The sequence below is a fragment of the Homo sapiens genome, chromosome 8, assembly GCF_000001405.40.
Source record: "Homo sapiens chromosome 8, GRCh38.p14 Primary Assembly".
NCBI lineage: Eukaryota > Metazoa > Chordata > Mammalia > Primates > Hominidae > Homo > Homo sapiens.
This window is the reverse complement of record NC_000008.11, coordinates 135626204-135646229: the sequence shown is the minus strand read 5'-3', so window position 1 is coordinate 135646229 and position 20026 is coordinate 135626204. Positions and strand designations below refer to the sequence as shown.

General features: G+C 41.4%; 1 protein-coding gene across 14 annotated transcripts in view; it reads right to left on the bottom strand.

Annotated features, from left to right (window-relative positions):
* The window catches only part of KHDRBS3 (KH RNA binding domain containing, signal transduction associated 3), a 199061-nt gene that overhangs the window by 10287 nt on the left and 168748 nt on the right, over nucleotides 1-20026 (bottom strand). For 9 of the 14 annotated variants that reach the window (XR_242372.3, XR_001745455.2, XR_001745457.2 and 6 more), the window contains one exon: nucleotides 1113-1171. The exons of the other annotated variants lie outside the window; for them this stretch is intronic. Coding sequence is in view for 5 of the 9 variants with exons in the window: in XM_047421269.1 (XP_047277225.1) it covers nucleotides 1113-1171 (59 nt within the window). In the remaining 4 variants the exon portion in view is untranslated. The remainder of the gene's footprint in view (nucleotides 1-1112; nucleotides 1172-20026) is intronic. 14 annotated transcript variants of the gene reach the window in all.

Below are 20026 nucleotides of genomic sequence, written 5' to 3'. Positions count from 1 at the left end.
ATCCCTGCTGCAACATACAGCAATTTAAAAGCCATGTGTCCACAGAGACCAATTTAAAAAGCTGTGAAGGAAAAATGCTTAAAATGACCTCTTCTTTTGATACAAAACATGCAATCAACGTCACTCCCTCAAGCTAACTTGCATCAATTTAGGTAGCCTGCATTCAGCAAACCAACATATTTCTCTTAAGTGTTTGTTACGGATAACAAAAAAAAAAAAAAAAAAAAAAAAAAAAAATCCAAGGTGCAGCCATCACAGCTTCAGGCAGGTGATACAACAAAATGCACTTCAAAAGGTTTAACGCCGGAAAATGGTTTTTCCGTTCTGTTAAGAGAAATGTCCTAACATCCATTAACCACAATCCTGATATACTTGCACCGGGTACCAGGGATTCATCAGAGCTTTGCAACTGATTGAAGCTTCATGTTCTCTGATCTCCTTGCCCTGCGGCAAGGGCTCTTCTTACTACCATTATGTTGCTGCCGCCAATTCTTTTAATTATTAAACCTGTCATCGTTCTGCATAGTGAGACTTTGGACATGAAGTCCCCAGCATCTCTACCAGCTCCACTGAATTAAGAGGGGTTTAGCTGCTGCCCTTTGTAAAGCTTACAGACCCTGTATCTCCTCCTTGGCTCAGTGCTTTTGTAACCTTTATGAAATGACTCCCAGTGTAATTTTTTTCAGAGGGTTTGAGATTGGAAATGAATTAAAACATAAAGATGAAGGTGGGAGAATCACTTTAGAGCTGTAGTCTCAATTGCTTCATTTCCCTTCACTGTCAGGAAACAAAGACACTTCAAAAAGACCCAGCTATCAAGTGTCTGAAGTTTGAAAAACTACTCTGTGAGAAAATCAGCACACGGCGACCAACTCAAACATAAAATTTAAGTTCAGAATCTGGATTCATGCAATCTTCAGCAAGTCTTTAGTCCTCTTCAAATATTTATATAATAAAGGAGCCCTAAAAATAGCTAGACATGCACAAATGAATTGACAGGAAGCTGCTGTTTCAGAGTCCAAATGTCCTTATTCTCTTCCCATTAATATCTTTAAGGTCTTTCTACGGCCATCTCTCCTCCCTCTCTTCACATGCTCTGGCCAGTCACTCACCGTAGGAATCATAAGTCTCCTCACTGAGTCCATGTCCGTAATCATAGTAATCAGCACCACTGCAAGTGATCAAAACAAAACAAAGGACAAAATCATCTGGCTGTGAGTTTCAACAGTATTCAATAACGTATTGTAAAACTTAAAGACAACTAATGAAGGGCAAGACTGAAAATTCAAAGAAATTCCCACCGAGATCACAGAGTTCTAAAGCAGAAGTGTCAACTTTGGGATTATCAAAGGACCCTTGTCTAGCTCCCTAATTTTAATACATAATAAATATGTTTCGACATTTTAACCACAACAATTGGCCACGCAACACACAGTAAGTGCCTAAAAGTGCACGAGGGAATACAAAGACAGCACCTGACCTGGGAAGACTGGGAGTCTGCGGAGAGGGAGGATGTGTGTGGACAATTCTAGCCCAGTGTGCCAAGAGCTAGGGCTGGGCCTGTGCAAGGCACTGTGGGAGTGGGGGAGGAGGTAAACACCTCCTTTCCAATAGATGGGATGTTTACAGAAGGCAAAGACTTTATTTCTTCTTACACCCTCGTCTACCAGAGAACCCGGTGCTGCATGAATTGTGGGTGCTGTACTTTATAGTACATTAAAAACAAATGCCCAGATGAAATGTTTTCTTTGACCGGCACTGTTGCATCACCATCCGGAAGCTGCTGGGAAAAGAGGACTCAGCAGCCATGGCCACATGGGACAGGAGAGCAGGGAAATGGATCTCTGCAGTCCAGTCACAAGTCTGGTTACATGAGGCCAAGGATCTTTTCAAAGTACAGGCAAATCCACGTTCCAATGTACAACATCCTTGAGAGAGCACGAGGAAAGAGCCATCACTGACAGCAAGAGGGAAGAGTTCTCACTGCCATTTTGCAGATGATGCAAAACAGCCTACATATATACAATGTATTTGAACTAGGAATAATTTTTTACAGGAATAGACTTGTGAAAAGTCTAGATTACTCAGCCATAACCATTCTGAGTATTTGAGAAAGAGTTTCCATGTACCCTCTCAGGCTTTCCTCTTTCCCACTCCATTTTGTAGGGAAACCACCATCCTGAATTTGTTATCTTAGACTGTCATGGAAATAAACATCCCCATTCTTCCAATTTCATACAATCAAGAGGTTTCTAATCAAAATGGAAAATGATCCAGCTCAGATGTTTAACACCTCAGGAAGTCACAGTTTGAGGAGCACAGATGCTTGCTGTGAATGTCTACTGAACACCAGCCGCTGAGATCCCACATCACCCCCGGCCTCGGATAGTAAAACTGCCATACCCATTTGACAGATAAGGATACTGCAGACCAGAAGAGCTAAGAAGCCAGGCTAAATTGCATGGAGAACAGTATAACTGAATCTCTGTGACTACACAGGCCAGACTTGTGGTCACAACCACACGGAGTTTTTCCCCCACGTTTTCTTTCTCAGGAAAATGACACCAGAGACTAATCATCACATTTAATGACTACGGCACAGCATGGCCATTCCTATGAGAAAAGTGTAAGCAATGGAGCTATGTTCCTTTTTATCTCAAACATGTGGGCATGAGTTTTTATATTTGCTACTCTTTCTGCCAGAAGGCCCTTCTCTCCTGTCCTCCAGGCTATTTCCAACTCAAGCCCTTAACCTAAATGCCACTTCCAAAGAGAACCTTGCTGGTATCCCTGAGTGAGGTTGGTTTCCCACGACAGCATGCCCTGGTTCTCATTCTTTTGGCCTGGAGGAGACCCTCACGTTACATATGTTAAGTGGGTATACGGAGAAGGGGCACCTCCATCACTCTAGTGTAGTGTGTCATGAATGGCTTGGAGCATGCAGTGCTTGCACAGTGTTCTGAGGGTGAAGGTGAAGACAGGTGGAGAAGGAATGGACAGAGGCAATGGCAGCAAGGGTCTTCCAGGCAGAAGAAACAGAATATGCAAAGCAGAGGCAGGAAACAGGTTGGAAAATCTAGGTGTCAACAAGCAGTTCAATCAAATATAGTAAGTATTGATGAAAAATGCCTGGACCAGGCCAGGCGCGGTGGCTCATGCCTGTAATCTCAGCACTTTGGGAGGCTGAGGCGGGCGGATCACGAGGTCAGAAGATCGAGACCATCCTGGCCAACATGGTGAAACCCTGTCTCTACTAAAAAAAAGTATATAAAAATTAGCTGGGTGTGGTGACGTCTGTAGTCCCAGCTACTTGGGATGCTGAGGCAGGGGAACTGCTTGAACCCAGGAGGCGGACGTTGCAGTGAGCTGAGATTGTGCCACTGCACTCCAGCCTGGCGACAGAGCGAGACTCCATCACAGAAAAAAAAAAAAAAGACAAATGCCTGGACCGGAATATTCCTTAGAATACTTCTTCCACACATAGAATATAGGCCCCACCTTGTTATCCTGGCTTAATCATATCCTTACAAGCTAATTAAATACGGTGTAACACGGAGGTTATGATTTGAGCTCTCTGTATAAAATAAGCTCTCTGAAATGGGCTGTGTTAAGCTCCGCTGGCTTAACACATTACAGAATAGTCACTACTACAGCTGACCTAATATACCAAGTAGCAATGTGCAATTTTTCCACAGAGGTACATGTAGCCACAGAGTTTTAAAAAATGGTCTTCAAATTAAGGGCTGGCATTCCTAAAAAAATTTAGAAGAAAAACGAGTGTGAGAGGAATGCAACTATTGTGAGCTACACCACTGCCCTACTGACAACTTCTCATGTGCATGAGCTCACCTAATCTAAAAAAACTCTATGCTTTTATAGACGAGGCAGCTGAGGCCCAAGCTGAGCCATCTGCCCAGGGTCACTCAACTTATAAGTGGCAGCACCTACACTCAAAGCTCAGAACACTACCACTGCTATGTGCTGAACACAAATGCTACAGGTGGCTTTTGCTCACCACGGGTGGACACCTTATGTGATTGGTTCCCACTTTGACATGGCCTTTGCTCTTCCAGAACTTCTCTTGTTTGCTCTCCCTAGGGCTTTAATGATCCTTCCTCATGCTCAGAAACAGAAGTCGGGCCCACATGAAACATGCTGCCACATGATCATAGTGATCTGTGACTGCCTTAGTCTCTCTCTGGCTTCCTTTCTGTAGTCCTAATTTTCCCTCACGGAATAATATACAGTTATGGTGAGAAGAAGAGGGACTAACTGAAAAGAGAGCAGATCAATTTTCATATTCAAAAAGATAATAAACCAGCAGAAACTAACAACAAAAGAAAAAACACGGCTTTCCTGCTTAAGATATGATAGCTTTAAATATGAGAATGCTATTAAAGTATTAATAGAATATTTCTCTTGTCTTGAGAATTGAAATTGAGACTCAATTAAAGCTTTTGACAAAAATGTCTGCCAGCTGTCAGTCAAGGCCTGGGCCTTTACCTGCAGTGCCACCTTGGGAGTGTGGCTTCCACGTGGGAGTCTTCCTGTTCATCTGCCAAATCAGGGGCTGGTCTAGACGCCGCTCAGGTCTCCTGGCAGCTCTAACATCTTCCATGGCTCTTTCACAGCATCTAGCTCCACAGTAGTCAACATAATTTCTCATTTTGTTGAAAATAAACTGGCAAATGCTTCTTGGAAACTCAGTGCTAAATTAAATGAACCTCAGTCTTCTTTCCAAGGGTCAGAAGTTACATCATAATGGCTCCTCAGACAAATACAACCTTGATGTTCTTGAGAATTTTATCTCTGTTGCACAGATAAATGAGTAACCTCACCATAAAACTGAAAGGGATTTCCTTGACTGAGACAGTTCCCAATTGTTTAACTTGGAACTGTAAATGACAGGTCCTGTGACTAATAAACAGAAGAGTTAACAACTCCTTTCTGACCAAACTAAACCTCCTTTATTAAATGAAGGGAGCAGTGATGAACATGAGCATAGACTGGAAATTTACTGTGAGGTGCTATAACACAGTTCAGCATAATAAAAATGAGGGTAAAGAATGTTTTTTAATGCACAAGAAGATAAAAGGTAGCAGGATTAGGTCCAGCAATGGTTTGGTGATGAGACAATCTTAGTTTTGACAAGTGAAAACTTAAAACTGACATTTGCTATCATTTCACCCAGTTTCTGATTATTTATTGCAAGACTGTCATCAAGCCGAGGAGCTGGGAGCAGCTGGGCCCCATTCTCATACCTGTCAGTTCCATCTGAATTGCTTTCACAGCATTTCGTTTCTTGTACCTCAAATGTCTATTAACCAAAGACATGTCCTATTTCCCAGCGATAAACTAAAACCTCAACATATGGCAAAGGGAAAAAACACTAAAAATCTCTTCATTTATGGACACAACTTTTCATATTGATAACAGGCAAGAAAACACATTAGGCCAAATACTTCTCAACTCCATCAAAGGGATCAGGGAGGCCCCTCTCTCAACAGATCAAGAGGGGGGCTTCCCTTCCTGGCACCAGGACCATGTCTCTACCCTCTCTCCATGACCCACCCCGTTACAACGGGTCAAAGGAAGCCGGCGTGCTCAGCATCATTCCTGGATTTCCCAGAGGTTTACATCAATTCCATCAACTTGAGTCAAGAAATAGCCCCTAACATCAGGAGACAGCATGTCCCTCTGTCCCTCTCCTGATAGGTGTCAAGGAACAAATCATAGCACTGAGACCAAGTTCATGTCTACTTAGGCCTTCTACCCTACATCTACAGAGGTCAACAGGAAGACCACAAACCCTGAGCAAGGACTCAAGTGGGATGAAGTCGACCTTCCCCAGGTCATCCCACCTCTATGAGTGGGGTTAAGAAGAAACTCCTGACATTTGTCTTTCCTCTACTCCTGCAACCTCTTTGAGCCTCTCCACCAATTTCTACTTTAAATTCACTGGAACTATCTCATTAGGCCTTTTGCTTGTATTTATGTCAGCTCAGGAAGCTCTAAATCACTACGTTGCTCTTTGTCTTTAGCACACCTAAAATTCTGCATACCCCCATCTGTCCTCATCTCCTACCCTCCCCTGCAATTCTGTCACTGCACCCTCTGGAATTCATGCTCCATCACTAGCAAAAATCCCTTATATAGTCTCAATCTCTTCTTTGAAAGTTTCTTGCTCAATGAAAACTTGATTTACCTCTAATGACAATTCTTCCCCAGCAACCCTCTCCACTTTTTTCTTTAACTTCCACAGCCGAGATATCACTGGGTGATGTGGTTTGGATGTCTGTCCCCCTACAAATCTCATGTGGAAATGCAATCCCCCGTGTTGGAGGTGGGGCCTGGTGGGAGGTGACTGGATCGGGGGCAGATCCCTCATGAATGGTTTAGCAACATCCCCTCGGTGATAAGTGAGTTCTTGCTCAGTTCACAAGATGTGGTTGTTTAAAAGCCTGTGGCACCACCCTGTTCTTTCTCCGCTCCCACTCTCACTTGGCCTTCTGCCATGAGTAACAGCTCCCTGAGGCCCTGTACAGCCTGCAGAACTGTGAGCCAATTAAACCTCTTTTCATTACAAATTACCCAGCCCCAGGTACTTCTTTACGGCAATGCAAAAATGGCTTGAATACAATGGGCCTAGAGGAAAGGAGAGTATTTTTCTTTTTGTGGCTAACTCCTCCCTCCCCTAAGGTACAGACACCTCTGCCTCTTCCAGACCATCATGCTTCACTCTTCTGAACAAACACCCAGCTTTCAATCTCCCAACAGCATCATTGTCCTGAGTCCTGGTGATTTCAGCATATGGGAGGATGATCCTTCAAATACGCAGGCCTCTCAACTTTCTGGCTCCTCTTGTCCACTGACCTGACCTCCTTTAGCCAATCCCTCCACGTCACACTCTAGGATCTTGCCATTAGCAATAACTTCAATCTTCAACTTCATATATCCCACTCTCTATGATTTCCTCTCTTTTAGTTTCTAGGATTATACCAGTTAGCCTTTCAACTTCATCGCAATCACCACCATTACTCCTCTTAAACTTTTCATCCCTTATCAAGGCAACCACTGAACTTCAAGTTGCTAAATTCAATGGTCAATGCTCATCCACATGTTATGTGACCAATCAGTAACTACCTGATGTGGCTGATTACTACACCTCTTCCTTGACATACTTTCTTCACTTTGCTCCCAGGATGTTATACTTCCTGGTTTCCTTCCTATCTCACTAGCTACTTCTTTTTTTTTTTTTTTTTGAGACGGAGTCTCACTCTCTCGCTCTGTTTCCAGGCTGGAGTGCAGTGGCGCGCTCTTGGCTCACTGCAACCTCCGCCTCCCAGGTTCAAGCAATTCTCCTGCCTCAGCCGTCCGAGTAGCTGGGAGTAGCTGGGACTATAGGCGCGTGCCACCACCATGCCCAGCTAATTTTTGTATTTTTAGTAGAGACAGGGTTTCACCATGTTGGCCAGGATGGTCTCAATCTCCTGACCTCGTGATGTGCCTGCCTGGGCCTCCCAAAGTGCTGGGATTACAGGCGTGAGCCACGGCGCCCAGCTAGCCATCTACTAACTTCTAAATTCCCAACTCTATAACTGGTTTGGACTTTATGAACGCTATGTCTTCCTATCCATCTAAGATTTAGTCACTTATTTTATAATCATTTTCTATTCTGTGAGCTGTTTATTCAAGGTGTTAGTTTTCCAGTTTGTTGAGTATGATGTTTCTTAAATGCTTTATAAATTTTAGATATGTGTTAGTTTTTGCTTTTGAGGTTCTCAGTTTGCTTGTGTATAAAAGCTACCCCTTATTTAAAACAGGCTTCTTCTGGTGGCTATGGAGAAGGACACAATATACTATTAGGTGGGATGTGCTAGTAACGTACGCTTTGTCTCTGGGGGCTCCTGGGTCCTCCAGAGGGTGGGACTACCCGAGGTTTGGCCTCGCATTGTTACAGCTTTACTCTGGGATCCAACACCATTACCCTGCACTCAGAACTACTGAGTTGGAGGCAGAGCAGACTAGCCTTGCTGTTTCAGAGACAGTTCTTCAATCAGTTATGAGAACACCCTGAGCTTCTTTCTATCCTTTATAGCCATTGATGTGGGGGTTAAATCTTCCCTAAGCCACTCTACCATTGTAGCACCCTTCTCTTGAATGGGGTTTTGTGTGGTTTTGTTTTTTTCAGAGGTTTGGTTTCATCTACTTCCTCTTTCTCAGGAATCTTTCAAAACTTGTTTCTGTCACTTCATGGGATTTTAAAAAGGAGGGGTGGGTGGACCAGATATAGGCTCTTAGTCCATCTTCTTGATTCAAACTACTGTTTCTTAAAAGTCCTTTTCAGTTTACAATGCACTTAGATAATCTTTTAATTCTCAAAATATATTATTTGAGGTAGACATATTATTTAATTTTACAGGTAAGAAAACTGAGACAGAAGACAGGAATGACACCTCATTCATATTTGTTCTGGACAGTGCTGACATCTAGCATGTAGCAGCATTCCAACAGATACACGAATGGCTCATACAAACACTGGGACTGAAAACTTTGTCCATGTCTCAATAACTCGCCTGTAATAATAATGTTTTGTTGCCGTGTCTGTGACAGTTTGTGGGGGTGGGCGAAGGGGTAGTAAATTCCTTTAGAAGTCACATTACTAAGTTCTGTACTATTTAAATTTAATGCAAAAATTTTTCTTGATTATTTTGCCCCGTTCCTTTAAGGAAAATCTTATCTGTAATCGTCATGATAAAATTTAAGACTTCAGCTAACACCTACTAACTGCTTATTATGTGATAGGAAAAATGTAAAGAGTCATGCATAATCCAGGTAATTGCTCTAGACTGACCTAGTTTTGTATTTCCTTTCTATTTAGAAGGAGCCTTTGTTACAATAACCGTTAGGAATTTTTATAAATAAAGCAAAATAAATGAAATGTAATATTTAAAATAAACTTTGGGACTACTCTTGTTTTCACATTATCATACATAACTGAAGATTTGAAATTCCTTTAAGGTAAATGACTAAAAAATTTCCAGTCTGCTTTCAATAAGAGCCTTACTTATCTAATAGTTCTTTTATAACATTTAACAATATTTCCCCAGGAGGGTATTGAATAATATGCTCCAGAATTAGGTTATGCAAGTTGGGTGGAAAAAGAGTTACAGCCAAAGTCCAGTCACCTGACCACAACTTTGCTGAATTTTGGCTTTTCCTTGGTCCTTGTTCACTAGTGCTCCTACTAGGGCAATGCCACTGCTACGACTACTGTCATCTAATCTGGAAAAAGAGATGGCACTAACTTCATTCTCGTCTTGTTTTGTTAAATGTGTTCAGAGTAAATACATTACGGTTAGCCTGTCCCTCTTCCCCTGAGAATTCCGAGGCTACATGGGGCCAGTTCTGATGAGTAAGGCAGAAGCTCAGCCTCTCTTTGTGGGTGTCCCTGGCATGCACAGACTGCTGTCCATGTGACCGCAGGCAATGATGATATTTCTGCCCTCAAGGGCCTTACAATGTGAGGACGATTCAGTTGACGGGAAGGCTGCATGAGGTGTCAAATGTTTCAGACAGCTTGCTTTATTCTTCTCTTGCTGCTGGATCCATCACGAGCCCACCTCTCCCACAGTGTTACTGCATCTTAGTTTTCAAAATAGCCTAGGGTAGTGGTTTCTAAAGTGTGACCCACGAACTCTTTCAGGGTTTCATCAAGTCAAAATGTTTTCAGAATAACACTAAGATGTTATGTGTCTTTCTCACTATACTGACCTTTTATGTGGTGGGTAAAATTGTTGGTGGTTGTTGACCAAAAGTCAAGGCAGTGGCACGAAGCTGCATGAGAATTCTTTTTCTTTTCTTTAAGGAATTTTCACTTAACAATGTCCTTGATGAAGTAAACATTTACTAATTTTATTAAATCTCAACTATTAAAGACACTCTTAACTTCTGTATGATGACGGGAAAAGTGCTCTTGAAAGCAATTCTGGGGCACACTGAAGTACAAGGGTGATCTCAAGGAAAAGCACCTGGGGCCATTTCTTACATTGTGAGGCCAACTAGCTGCCTTTTCCATAAACATCATTGTTACGTGAAATAACTCACAGCAATGAACTAGGCTTACTCAGACTTGGGTATCTGGTTCACATTTTCTCAAAAATGAATAAAGTGAGCCTGTCACTTTAAGTAAAACAACTGACAGTATTTATTACCAATGACAGAATCTGAGCTTTCCAGTAAAAACTGCAGCTTTGGAAAACCAATATTTGCTACTGTAAACTGATGGTCAAGTCAATACTTATCTCTGTTGAGATCAGTGGTGATAATATGACTTTTTTGATATTGCATAATGAAATGTGTTAACAGCACTTTGAAGATACGCATAATGCAGCGAAGTGACATTTTTCAAATGATGCATGCATGATGCCAAAAAACCCAAGTATACAGCAGACCAAGGTATTTTAATGTAACAGAGTATGAAAAGGTTACTGGTATGGTTTTAGAGTCTACGTTACAACTAATCTTTAAGAAACTACTACCTGCCAGGCCGGGTGCAGTGGCTCACGCCTGTAATCCCAGCACTTTGGGAGACCGAGGCAGGTGGATCACCTGAGGTTGGGAGCTGGAGACCAGCCTGGCTAATGTGGTGAACCCCCTTCTCCACTAAAAATACAAAATTAGCCAGGCATGGTGGCGCATGCCTATAATCCCAGCTACTCGGGAGGCTGAGGCAGGAGAATCGCTTGAACCTGGGAAGCAGAGTTTGCGGTGAGCCAAGATCGTGCCACTACACTCCAGGCTGGGCAATGAGCAAGACTCCGTCTCAAAAACAAACAAACAAACAAACAAACAAACACTACTACCTGCCAAGTTTTGATGTCGTATCAAAGAAGAATATCGTCTATTATTTGAAAGGGCTGCTTTCCCCTTGCCAGTGACACATCTGTTGTTCCAACTACTTCAATCAAAACAACATATCACATCAGAAGAAATGCAAAAGCATAAATGAGAATCCACAATTTTTACCATTTTTTAAGAAAATAGAGATTTTTCATAAAAATAGATTACAAGCAATGGGTTGACTGTTACATTTAATGATTGATAAATTTTTTAAATGTTTGTTTTAATTTCTAATATGATAAATATTAATATATATAAACCACATACATTAAAGCATGTTGTGGCTCTCAGTAATTTTTTTCCCCACACCACAGCAATGTACTTCACTAGTTTTTAAGAGTATGAAGTATACAGGGATTGTGAGATCAAAAACTTTCAGAACCATTGGCCTAGGACACATGGCTTCAGCAAATTTCAGGAGGCCGGCAGAGTGAGCATTACGCTTGCCTGAAGAATTATTCTTTTATCTGGAAAACTGTCTCCTTGTCCAGCAGTGATGAGGGAGGAAGTATTCACTAACTAGTTAGCCAGAGGACAGAGCCCGATGTCACAACTGCTTAGTCTCAGATCTCACATAACACCATGACTACAAAGCTTGGTCTTCTGGGGCAGACAGCAAAAAGTCAGAGAAACTAGCATGTCAAATAAGCAATGCAAATATAGAGATTACCCTCAAATCCTTACAAACAGTTTTAACATGGGAATAGCTTCAGTTCCCTAACTGGCATGTTTTATCTACTAGTGCCAAGAATATAAGAAAAGAGAAACAAACTTAAGTTTCAAATAAATAATTTTCTTTAGGAATTAAAAATCACATTCATTTGACAATAATTGGAATATTTACATAATTTTCCATTGAAAACGCCAAACCAAATTTATAGTTTAATCAGAGAATCCCCCTCTAAGAGAAAGATTCAGCAATCCTATCAGCTTACAAAAATTGAAGGTCTGGCTTTCTAAATTATAGAGCTTTCAGAGTTGATATTGTGAACCTGACTGTTAGACATTTCACTGCTCGGGAGGACATCCATCACAGTGCTGACAGGGGAGGGAAAACAAGGGCAAACTTAAAAAATAATTTCACCATGTTTCTCAAGCTATAAAATGTGATTTGGGAAAAACAGTGGGAAGTAGGACTTAAAATAATTTGAGGAATCATTCCTGCTCCCCATTTAATTAAGAGTTAACAAAAATCCCAGTTTACAACAGAATCCTATTTTAAGAAATGGGTTGATATCAAGTGTATACACATGTAACTGAGTCAGCAACTGACAGGGGTTGAGGGGAGGGAGGAATGACTGGGTAGAGCACAGAGGATGTTCAGGGCAGTGAAAGTACTCTGGGTGATACTCTCATGGTGGACACATGACATTACACATTTGTGCAAACCCAGAGAATCTACAACACCAAGAGTGAACTCTAATGTCAACTAAGGGCTTTGAGTGATGATCATGTGTCAATGTAGGTTCACTGATTGTAACAAACACACCACTCTGGTGGCAGATGTGGATAATGGGGAGGCTGTGCACGTGTAGAGGCAGGGTGCCTGTGGGAAATCTGTGCCTTCCTCTCAATGTTGCTGTGAATCTAGGACTGTGGCAAAAATAAAATCTTTAAAAAAGTCATAACTGAAAATTTATCTCCCAGGGACAAAACAGAATTTTAAAATGATAGCTGAGAAAACAGATCCTTTCCTCTTATAAATTAGTAATTAAAAAAAGAAACTGGTTTTATTTAAATACTTAACAGTCCCTATATTTCATAAGACAGAGACTATTAAAATCTGAACCTTATTGTGGCATTAACATGAGCTTATATTTCTATAAATTCTATGAGGAAAGCAGACTCACCTGATTTATTAAGTCTTGCCATTGCTCTAGAAGAAAGTTATCCATTTTACCCTTGCATTTATATGCAAACTGGGGTGCACAGCAGTGAAGCCTTGTTGTTAATTATCTCTGCATCACCCAGTGGGAGGTGAGGGCATGAACACCGCACTGTGCAGGAGAGAGAGCTCCTGCTCTAGTGAGACCAGGCTGAGTCCTGGCTCTGCCACTTACCAACTTCAGCAGTGGCCATGCACAAAATCAAATAATATGAGACAATCATATCATGCATGCATTCATTCATGCATGGATTCAAGTTATTTAAAACATATTTAATAAACAACACAAATTCACTACTTTCATGGAGCTGTCTTTAATGGGAAAGACAGACAATAAACTATATATATGTATAAATAATACGTCGCATGATCAGATGTGCTACTGAGAGTTAGAGCAGCTAAGAGATTGGAAGAACTGAACTAAGATTGTTATTTTATAGTTTAGTCAGAGAACTCTCTCTAATAAGGTATCATCTGAGCTGAGATTTGAAGGAATTGGAGGAGATATGCAGATATTATCTGGGGGCACAGTACTGTGGGCAGAGGGACCATCAAATGTCAAGTTCTTCAGGGGACACATTCTTGGTACAGCTGAAGGCTAGAAAGGAAGGCAGTGCAATTGGAGCAGAGAGGACAAGGGAGAGGGCCACAGAATCAGTAAGAAGGCAGGTGGACCATGCAGGGTCATGCAGGCCACTGAGAGGCTTTCATTTCTTATGTGTGTGTTTTTAAAATCCCGGTTGAGTGAAATGGGAAATTTTTCTTGGTTCCAAGAAAAAAAACAGAATTATCATTTATAGAGAAAGGGAAGAGGATAGCAGCAACAGCTTTCAGGGCAGGGAGAGTTCCGGAGTTTGATTTGGGACACGTTAGGTTTGAGAGACCCTCCTCTGGAGAGGAGGCTGCTGGAAAGAGAATCTAGGGGTCAGGAGACAGGTCTGACCTGCAGACATAAATCTGGGAGTCATCATCATTGCTCTTGGTCGTTAAAACCTGAGACAGTGAGACCACTGAGAAGAGAGCAAATGGAGAAGAGGTTAAAGGAGTGAGCCCCCTTGACTCCAGAATGCAGAGGGCAAGAAGAGGAGGGTCTAGCAAGAGATGGAGAACACCCAGCCAGAGAGAGAGGAGCCCAGAGGCTCTGAGATGGTGAGGGCCTAAGGCTCTTCAGAAGGAACGACGGATTCCCTCATCAAGTGTGGCAAAGGTGCTCAGAGGAGGTCACTGAGGACCTGAACAGAGTTGTTTCAGTAGCAGCGTGGGAACCAAAAGATCAAGTTCAAGAGAAAGTAGAAGAAGATCAAGTGAAGACAGCGAGTTGAGACAACTTTTGCACACTTTGGCTTTGGGTTTTGTAGAGGAAGTGTGTGCGCATGTGTATATATACACAGTCAAGCACTGCATAATGATGTTTCATTCAATGCCAGACCATATATACCAGGGCAGTCCCTTCAACTTATAATGGAGCTGAAATATTTCTATCGCTGTAGCCGTGGTAGCATCATAGCGCAATGCATTACTTGTGTTGGTGACACTGGTGTAAATAAATCTATTGTGCTGCCGGTCATATAAAAGTCTAGCACATACAATTATGTACGGTACATCATACTAGAAAATAAAATTAAAGGACTATGCCAGTGGTTGTGTATTTACCATATTATACTTTTTACCATTACTTTAGAGTATATTCCTTCTACTTATTAAAAAGGAAAACCTATCTGGTTACCTCCTAAAGGACCTGCCCGAAGCTGTTTTAGCTGTGTTTACTTGATCTGTAAAACAGCTTTAGGCAGGTCCTTCAGCAGGTAACCAGAAGAAGGTACTCTTATCCTAGGAGATGACAGCTTCATGCATGTTACTGTCCCTAAAGATCTTCCAGAGGCACAAGATGTGGAGGTAGAAGACAAGGATGTAGATGATCCTGACACTATGTAGTGTGTGTCTGTCTCAGTTTTTAACAGAAACGTTTAAAAAGTTAAAAAAAAAACCAAAACATTAGTTTAAAAACAGAAAAAGCTTATGAAATAAGGACACATTTTTGTATAGTTGTACAATATGTTTGTGTTTTAAGCTAAGTGTTATTATGAAAGAGTCAAAAAGTTAAAAAACTAAAGTTTATAAAGTAAAAAAGTTATAGTAAGCTGTTAATTTATTATTGAAGAAAAATCCTTTTTTTTTTTTTTTTTTTTTCCGAGACGGAGTCTCGCTCTGTTGCCCAGGCTGGAGTGCAGTGTCGCGATCTCAGCTAACCACAACCTCCACCTCCCCGGTTCAAGCAATTCCCCTGCCTCAGCCTCCTGTGTAGTTGGGATTACAGGTGCACGTCATCACACCTGGCTAATTTTTTTGTATTTTTAGTAGAGATGGGGTCTCACCATGTTGGCCAGACTGGTCTCGAACTCCTGACCTCAGGCAATCCACCTGCCTTGGCCTCCCAAAGTGCTGGGATTACAGGCGTGAGCCACCGCGCCCGGCCGAAAAACACTTTTTAATATGTGCAGTGTAGCCTATGCATACAATGTCTATGAAGTCTACAATAGTGCATAGTAACGTCCCAGGCCTTCATAGTCACTCACCACCCACTCACTCACTCACCCACAGTAACTTCCAGTCCTTCAAGCTCCATTCATGGTAAGTGCCTTATACAGGTGTACCATCTTTTTTTATACCATATTTTTACTGTATCTTTTCTATGTTTAGATACGTTTAGATACACAGATACTGACCACCGTTACCATTGCCCACAGTATTCAGTGCAATGATATGCTGTCCAGGTCTGTAGCCTAGAAGCATGAGGCTGTATCATCTAGCCTAGGTGTGCATTAGGCTATCCCATCTAGGTTTGAGTAAGTCACTCTATGATGTTCCCCTAATGATGAAATTACCTAAGGATGCATTTCTCAGAATGTATCCCAATTGTTAAGCAACACATCTGTATATACATACATACATACATACATTAAACTTTATAACTCATTGTGGGTAGATATTACCCCATTTCACAAAACAGAAAAAAAAAGTAGGTTTGGTAAATTAAGAAACTTATTTAAAATCACATAGCTGGTTAAGTGGTGAAGCCAGGATTAGAACAAAGGTCTGTGTAAATACAACAATGCTCTTCTTAATTTCTCTGAGACCAAGGTTTTATGTTATCAAAATTAGCAATATTAGACTACCCAGATACTCCCCAGGGAGTCAGTCTGCTGAAACCCAGACCACCACAGGAATTCCAGACCCAAGGGCTCCTTCCTCAGGAAAGCACAGGCATTGATGCTCCATCAAGCTCAGGTGGGACTCCATAGGCAATTACTTGTTCCAGGTTCTCTTCCAGGAGGTTTTCTAGCCTTGGTACCAGACATTCCTTACTCCCTCTCTGCCCCAGATCATGTCGCTGTAAATGCTGGTGGCTTGTCTTTCATCTCTTCACTCCCACCATAAACCATCTCCTGACAGGGTCCAGCAGCAGAATGTTTCCCCTCGGGAGGTGTTTCTGCCCATTGTCTCGGCTTTTTCCATAATCTTCCAGAAGTTACTATATGGGTGGAGTCTGCTGCCATGAAACAGTCAGAAGCCTGACAGGAGTTACTGAATTTACTGGGGTTGGAGCATTTGCTCTCCTATCAGGCGAAGTATTCAAGCTCAGACATAGAACATGGGTTCTAACAGTCCTACAGTATTCTAGATGTCCCGATCAATAACTTCAGTATTTCTTTGCACCTCAATCCAATGCCTCTCCATCTCACATTCTAGGTATTTCACTGGCTGCTATAGGATCAACTACGATTGTATGTGAAAGCATTTTATGAACAAAGTCCATTATTGTTATGGAGACCTAGCATGCAGTAATGATTAAGAGCCCAGAGTTTGGATTAAAGGCTCTCTGAGTTTTGAATCCTCTTCTTCCACTTAGAAGCAGGGTAAGCTCGGGCAGGCAGTTAAATCTTTTAAGTTCCAGTTTCTAGAAGTGTTTCAGACATAAAAGGTGCTCAATAAAGACACTGATAGAAGGAATGAATGAATGAATAAATCTGGCTTATACTTTCTGCTCAATAAGTGTCTGCTGCAGCTGTCTTACAGCCAGGCTGATAATGAATGAGTAATAATTAAATGAGTTCACCTACACAAAACACTAGTCACTGGCCTGCCATTTAGTCAGTACAAAATAAATGGTGACTATTATCCTTAACCCTATTGTAACTAAGTTTGCAAAACCTCAGATATAACAATCACTTTGTCAAATAAAAGGATTTCAAATGCTAACACAGGTTTGCCAGAGAATTGGAGACACAAACTTTTTTGTCTTTTACAGCTGGTCCCTTCCCTTTTCTACTATGAAATACTTCTAAACTTTATCTCCACTACAAAGTGCAGGAACTTACTGGTACTTGGCTGAATCAAAGGGAAGAAATCGATCTTCAGAGGTCATGTGGCCCAACCACTGGCCTTCAGGCTAAACTGTCTTAATCATCTGAGAGAAATGATTATCTCTCCACTTTCAAAGACTTCTAGGGATGAAACCTGAATAACCTGTCACAGTAATACCCTCGAACAGGTCTGCCAGAAAGTTCTTGCTTTGTGTTTAACCTTAATCTCTCATGAGACACTCAGAATCCTTTTTCTCTTATTTTATTCTCCACAAAGCTTGAGTACAACCTTCTGTGTAAGAAAACTCAGGAAGACAGATTACTCAGAGGAAGCAATAAGGAAGCATGTGCCCTGGAAGTTTCTGGCAAGACTGATTTAGAAATGACCCTATTGCAACTACTACTATCTGATGCTAGATGATGGGCATGTGGAGACAATGAGGTCACAGTCACATGAGACACAAAGACATGCAAATAAAATTTAATATCACACTAATAATAGATATCACTTATCAAATACCTATTATAAGCCATGTATTCTATGCAATTTATCTTTCGTCTTTAAAATAAAGTTGCAATAAAGCTCTTATGTCTATTTCATAAATTTAGGTTTAAAAACAACATTTTTCTGCCATTTAAGAAAACAAGCTCTCACCACTTCTACTGTGTTTTGTGGAATAATCTTAGTATGAAATTAGGAGGTTCAGAGACCATCTTTTTCATTCGACATCTGTTCAGCAGATATTTACAGAGCACCCACTATATGCTGGGCCTTGGAATGCAGCAGCCAACAAGATTTGGTCTTTGTGATAAACCATGTTGAGTCTAGTGTACAAGTGAGACAAGTGTCAACCGGGGAATGGAACATGATGATACCGAGAAACCCAGAGTTCTGTAGGAACTCAGAGGTGGGATACCTGAACCAGTTTTGGGGGACATGAGAAGATTCCTGAAAAAAGAAATGCTTCAATTGACAACAGAAAAGCCAGACAAAGATGAAGAAAAAAATCATTCCAAGCAGAACAACAGCATTCATTCTGGCTTAGTAATAAGAAAGCAGCTAATCAGAGGCATAAAGTTTAGACATTGTCTAAGTCACATGGCTAGAATACATGGAATCAGAATAGAAGTCTAGTTACTCCGAATGCCAAGTGTAGATTTTTTTTCAACACCACCTGTTTTTCACTACCATCTAATTTAACTGTCAATCACTACATTCTCAGAATAATAAGAGATATGTTTGGGTACTCTAAAAAAAAGCCATGTAATTCAGAATCAAAAGGAGATGGCTAGAGGTAAGATAACTGATAGGCAACATCTAAGAGAAAAAGCCAGAGAAACTTCTGGGGTGCTGGAAATGTTCTCCTCATGGTTATGTGGGTGTATACGTATGTTAACTTTCACTGAACTATTTTTTTTCAGATAAATAAAAATTTATGCTCTTTGCTGTATGTACATTATATCTCAGTAAAAGGAAAAAAATCTAAAAGAAAAATCCCTAATTTGTATGTTAAAAGGTAAGAACCAATAGGCATTTGTTGCTGCCTGTTTAACATGCATCTTCACCTTCTTTCTTACCAACAGATCCCTTATAAGGCTGGGGATTGGGTGCTAGTGATAATGTATCAATCCTTTTGCAGATGAAGTAGACAATGAGATAGAAGCAAAATTTATGGAGTGAAGCTTCCAGGAAATTTCCTAACAGAAGGCCAACTCACCTAGGAGGCATGGCTTTCCACTCTTCCCCCTTCTTCCTGCCTGAACCTCAGCTTGGCAGCTGGAAGTATAATAGCCACTGTGAATGAGAAGAGCCTTGGGATAGAAGCCAGGGTGAAGGAGTGCGGAAGAGAAGGGCAGAAGCAGTCTGGATTCTTAGTAACTACAGAAAGCTGTCACGTGAGCTTGGAGCTGATTACATCCTTGCATGAGAGAAAACTAAAACATCTAATTTGATTGAATTTATGATTAATTCAGAGTTTAACCCGTCCCTAAAAGCCACAGCAATGCATTCGGAAATAAGGCGTGTGAGTATCCCTGTATTTTTCTGATATAGAGATAGCTAACCTTATTTTCTTATTTTAACAGAAAACGGCAATGTCCTGCTACTCCTTCCTACTACAAAGTTGCTTAAAAGGTTGCAGATGGTTCTACATAATTGAAAAAAAATTATTAATTTTTATTAGATTCCAAGAAAAAGGAGACAAGGAGAATAATGTTTTCCTTATGAGAACTGCCTCAGTTCCCACTGTGCCTCTTTTTTTTTTTTTTTTTTTTTGAGACGGAGTCTCGCTGTGTCTCCCAGGTTGGAGTGCGGTGGCGCAATCTCGGCTCACTGCAAGCTCCGCCTCCCGGGTTCACGCCATTCTCCTGCCTCAGCCTCCCAAGTAGCTGGGACTACAGGCGCCCGCCAACACGCCCGGCTAATTTTTTGTATTTTTTAGTAGAAACGGGGTTTCACCGTGTTAGCCAAGATGGTCTCGATCTCCTGACCTCGTGATCCGCCCGCCTCGGCCTCCCAAAGTGCTGGGATTACAGGCGTGAGCCACCGCGCCCGGCCCCCACTGTGCCTCTTTACTCCTCCAACACACCCAAGTCCACCATGCCAGGAAGCTTCAGCAATGGCCAGGCGTGCAGCTCACAGAGGACATGCTGATGTCCATGTGAGAGGTCTGTGCAATGCCATATTTACTTTTATAGGCTCAGGTTTTCATTTTTAAGCAGGTTTCTCCATCTTACTGTAATCATTTTAGAAGCTGGCATAGAATAGTTAAAAATCAGGCTTTGAAGCCAAACAAATATCAGAAATTAGACTTTAGGATTTATTCTCTGTCAGCTTAAAGTTAATTTAATTTCTCATCTGTAAAAGTTTAAAAAA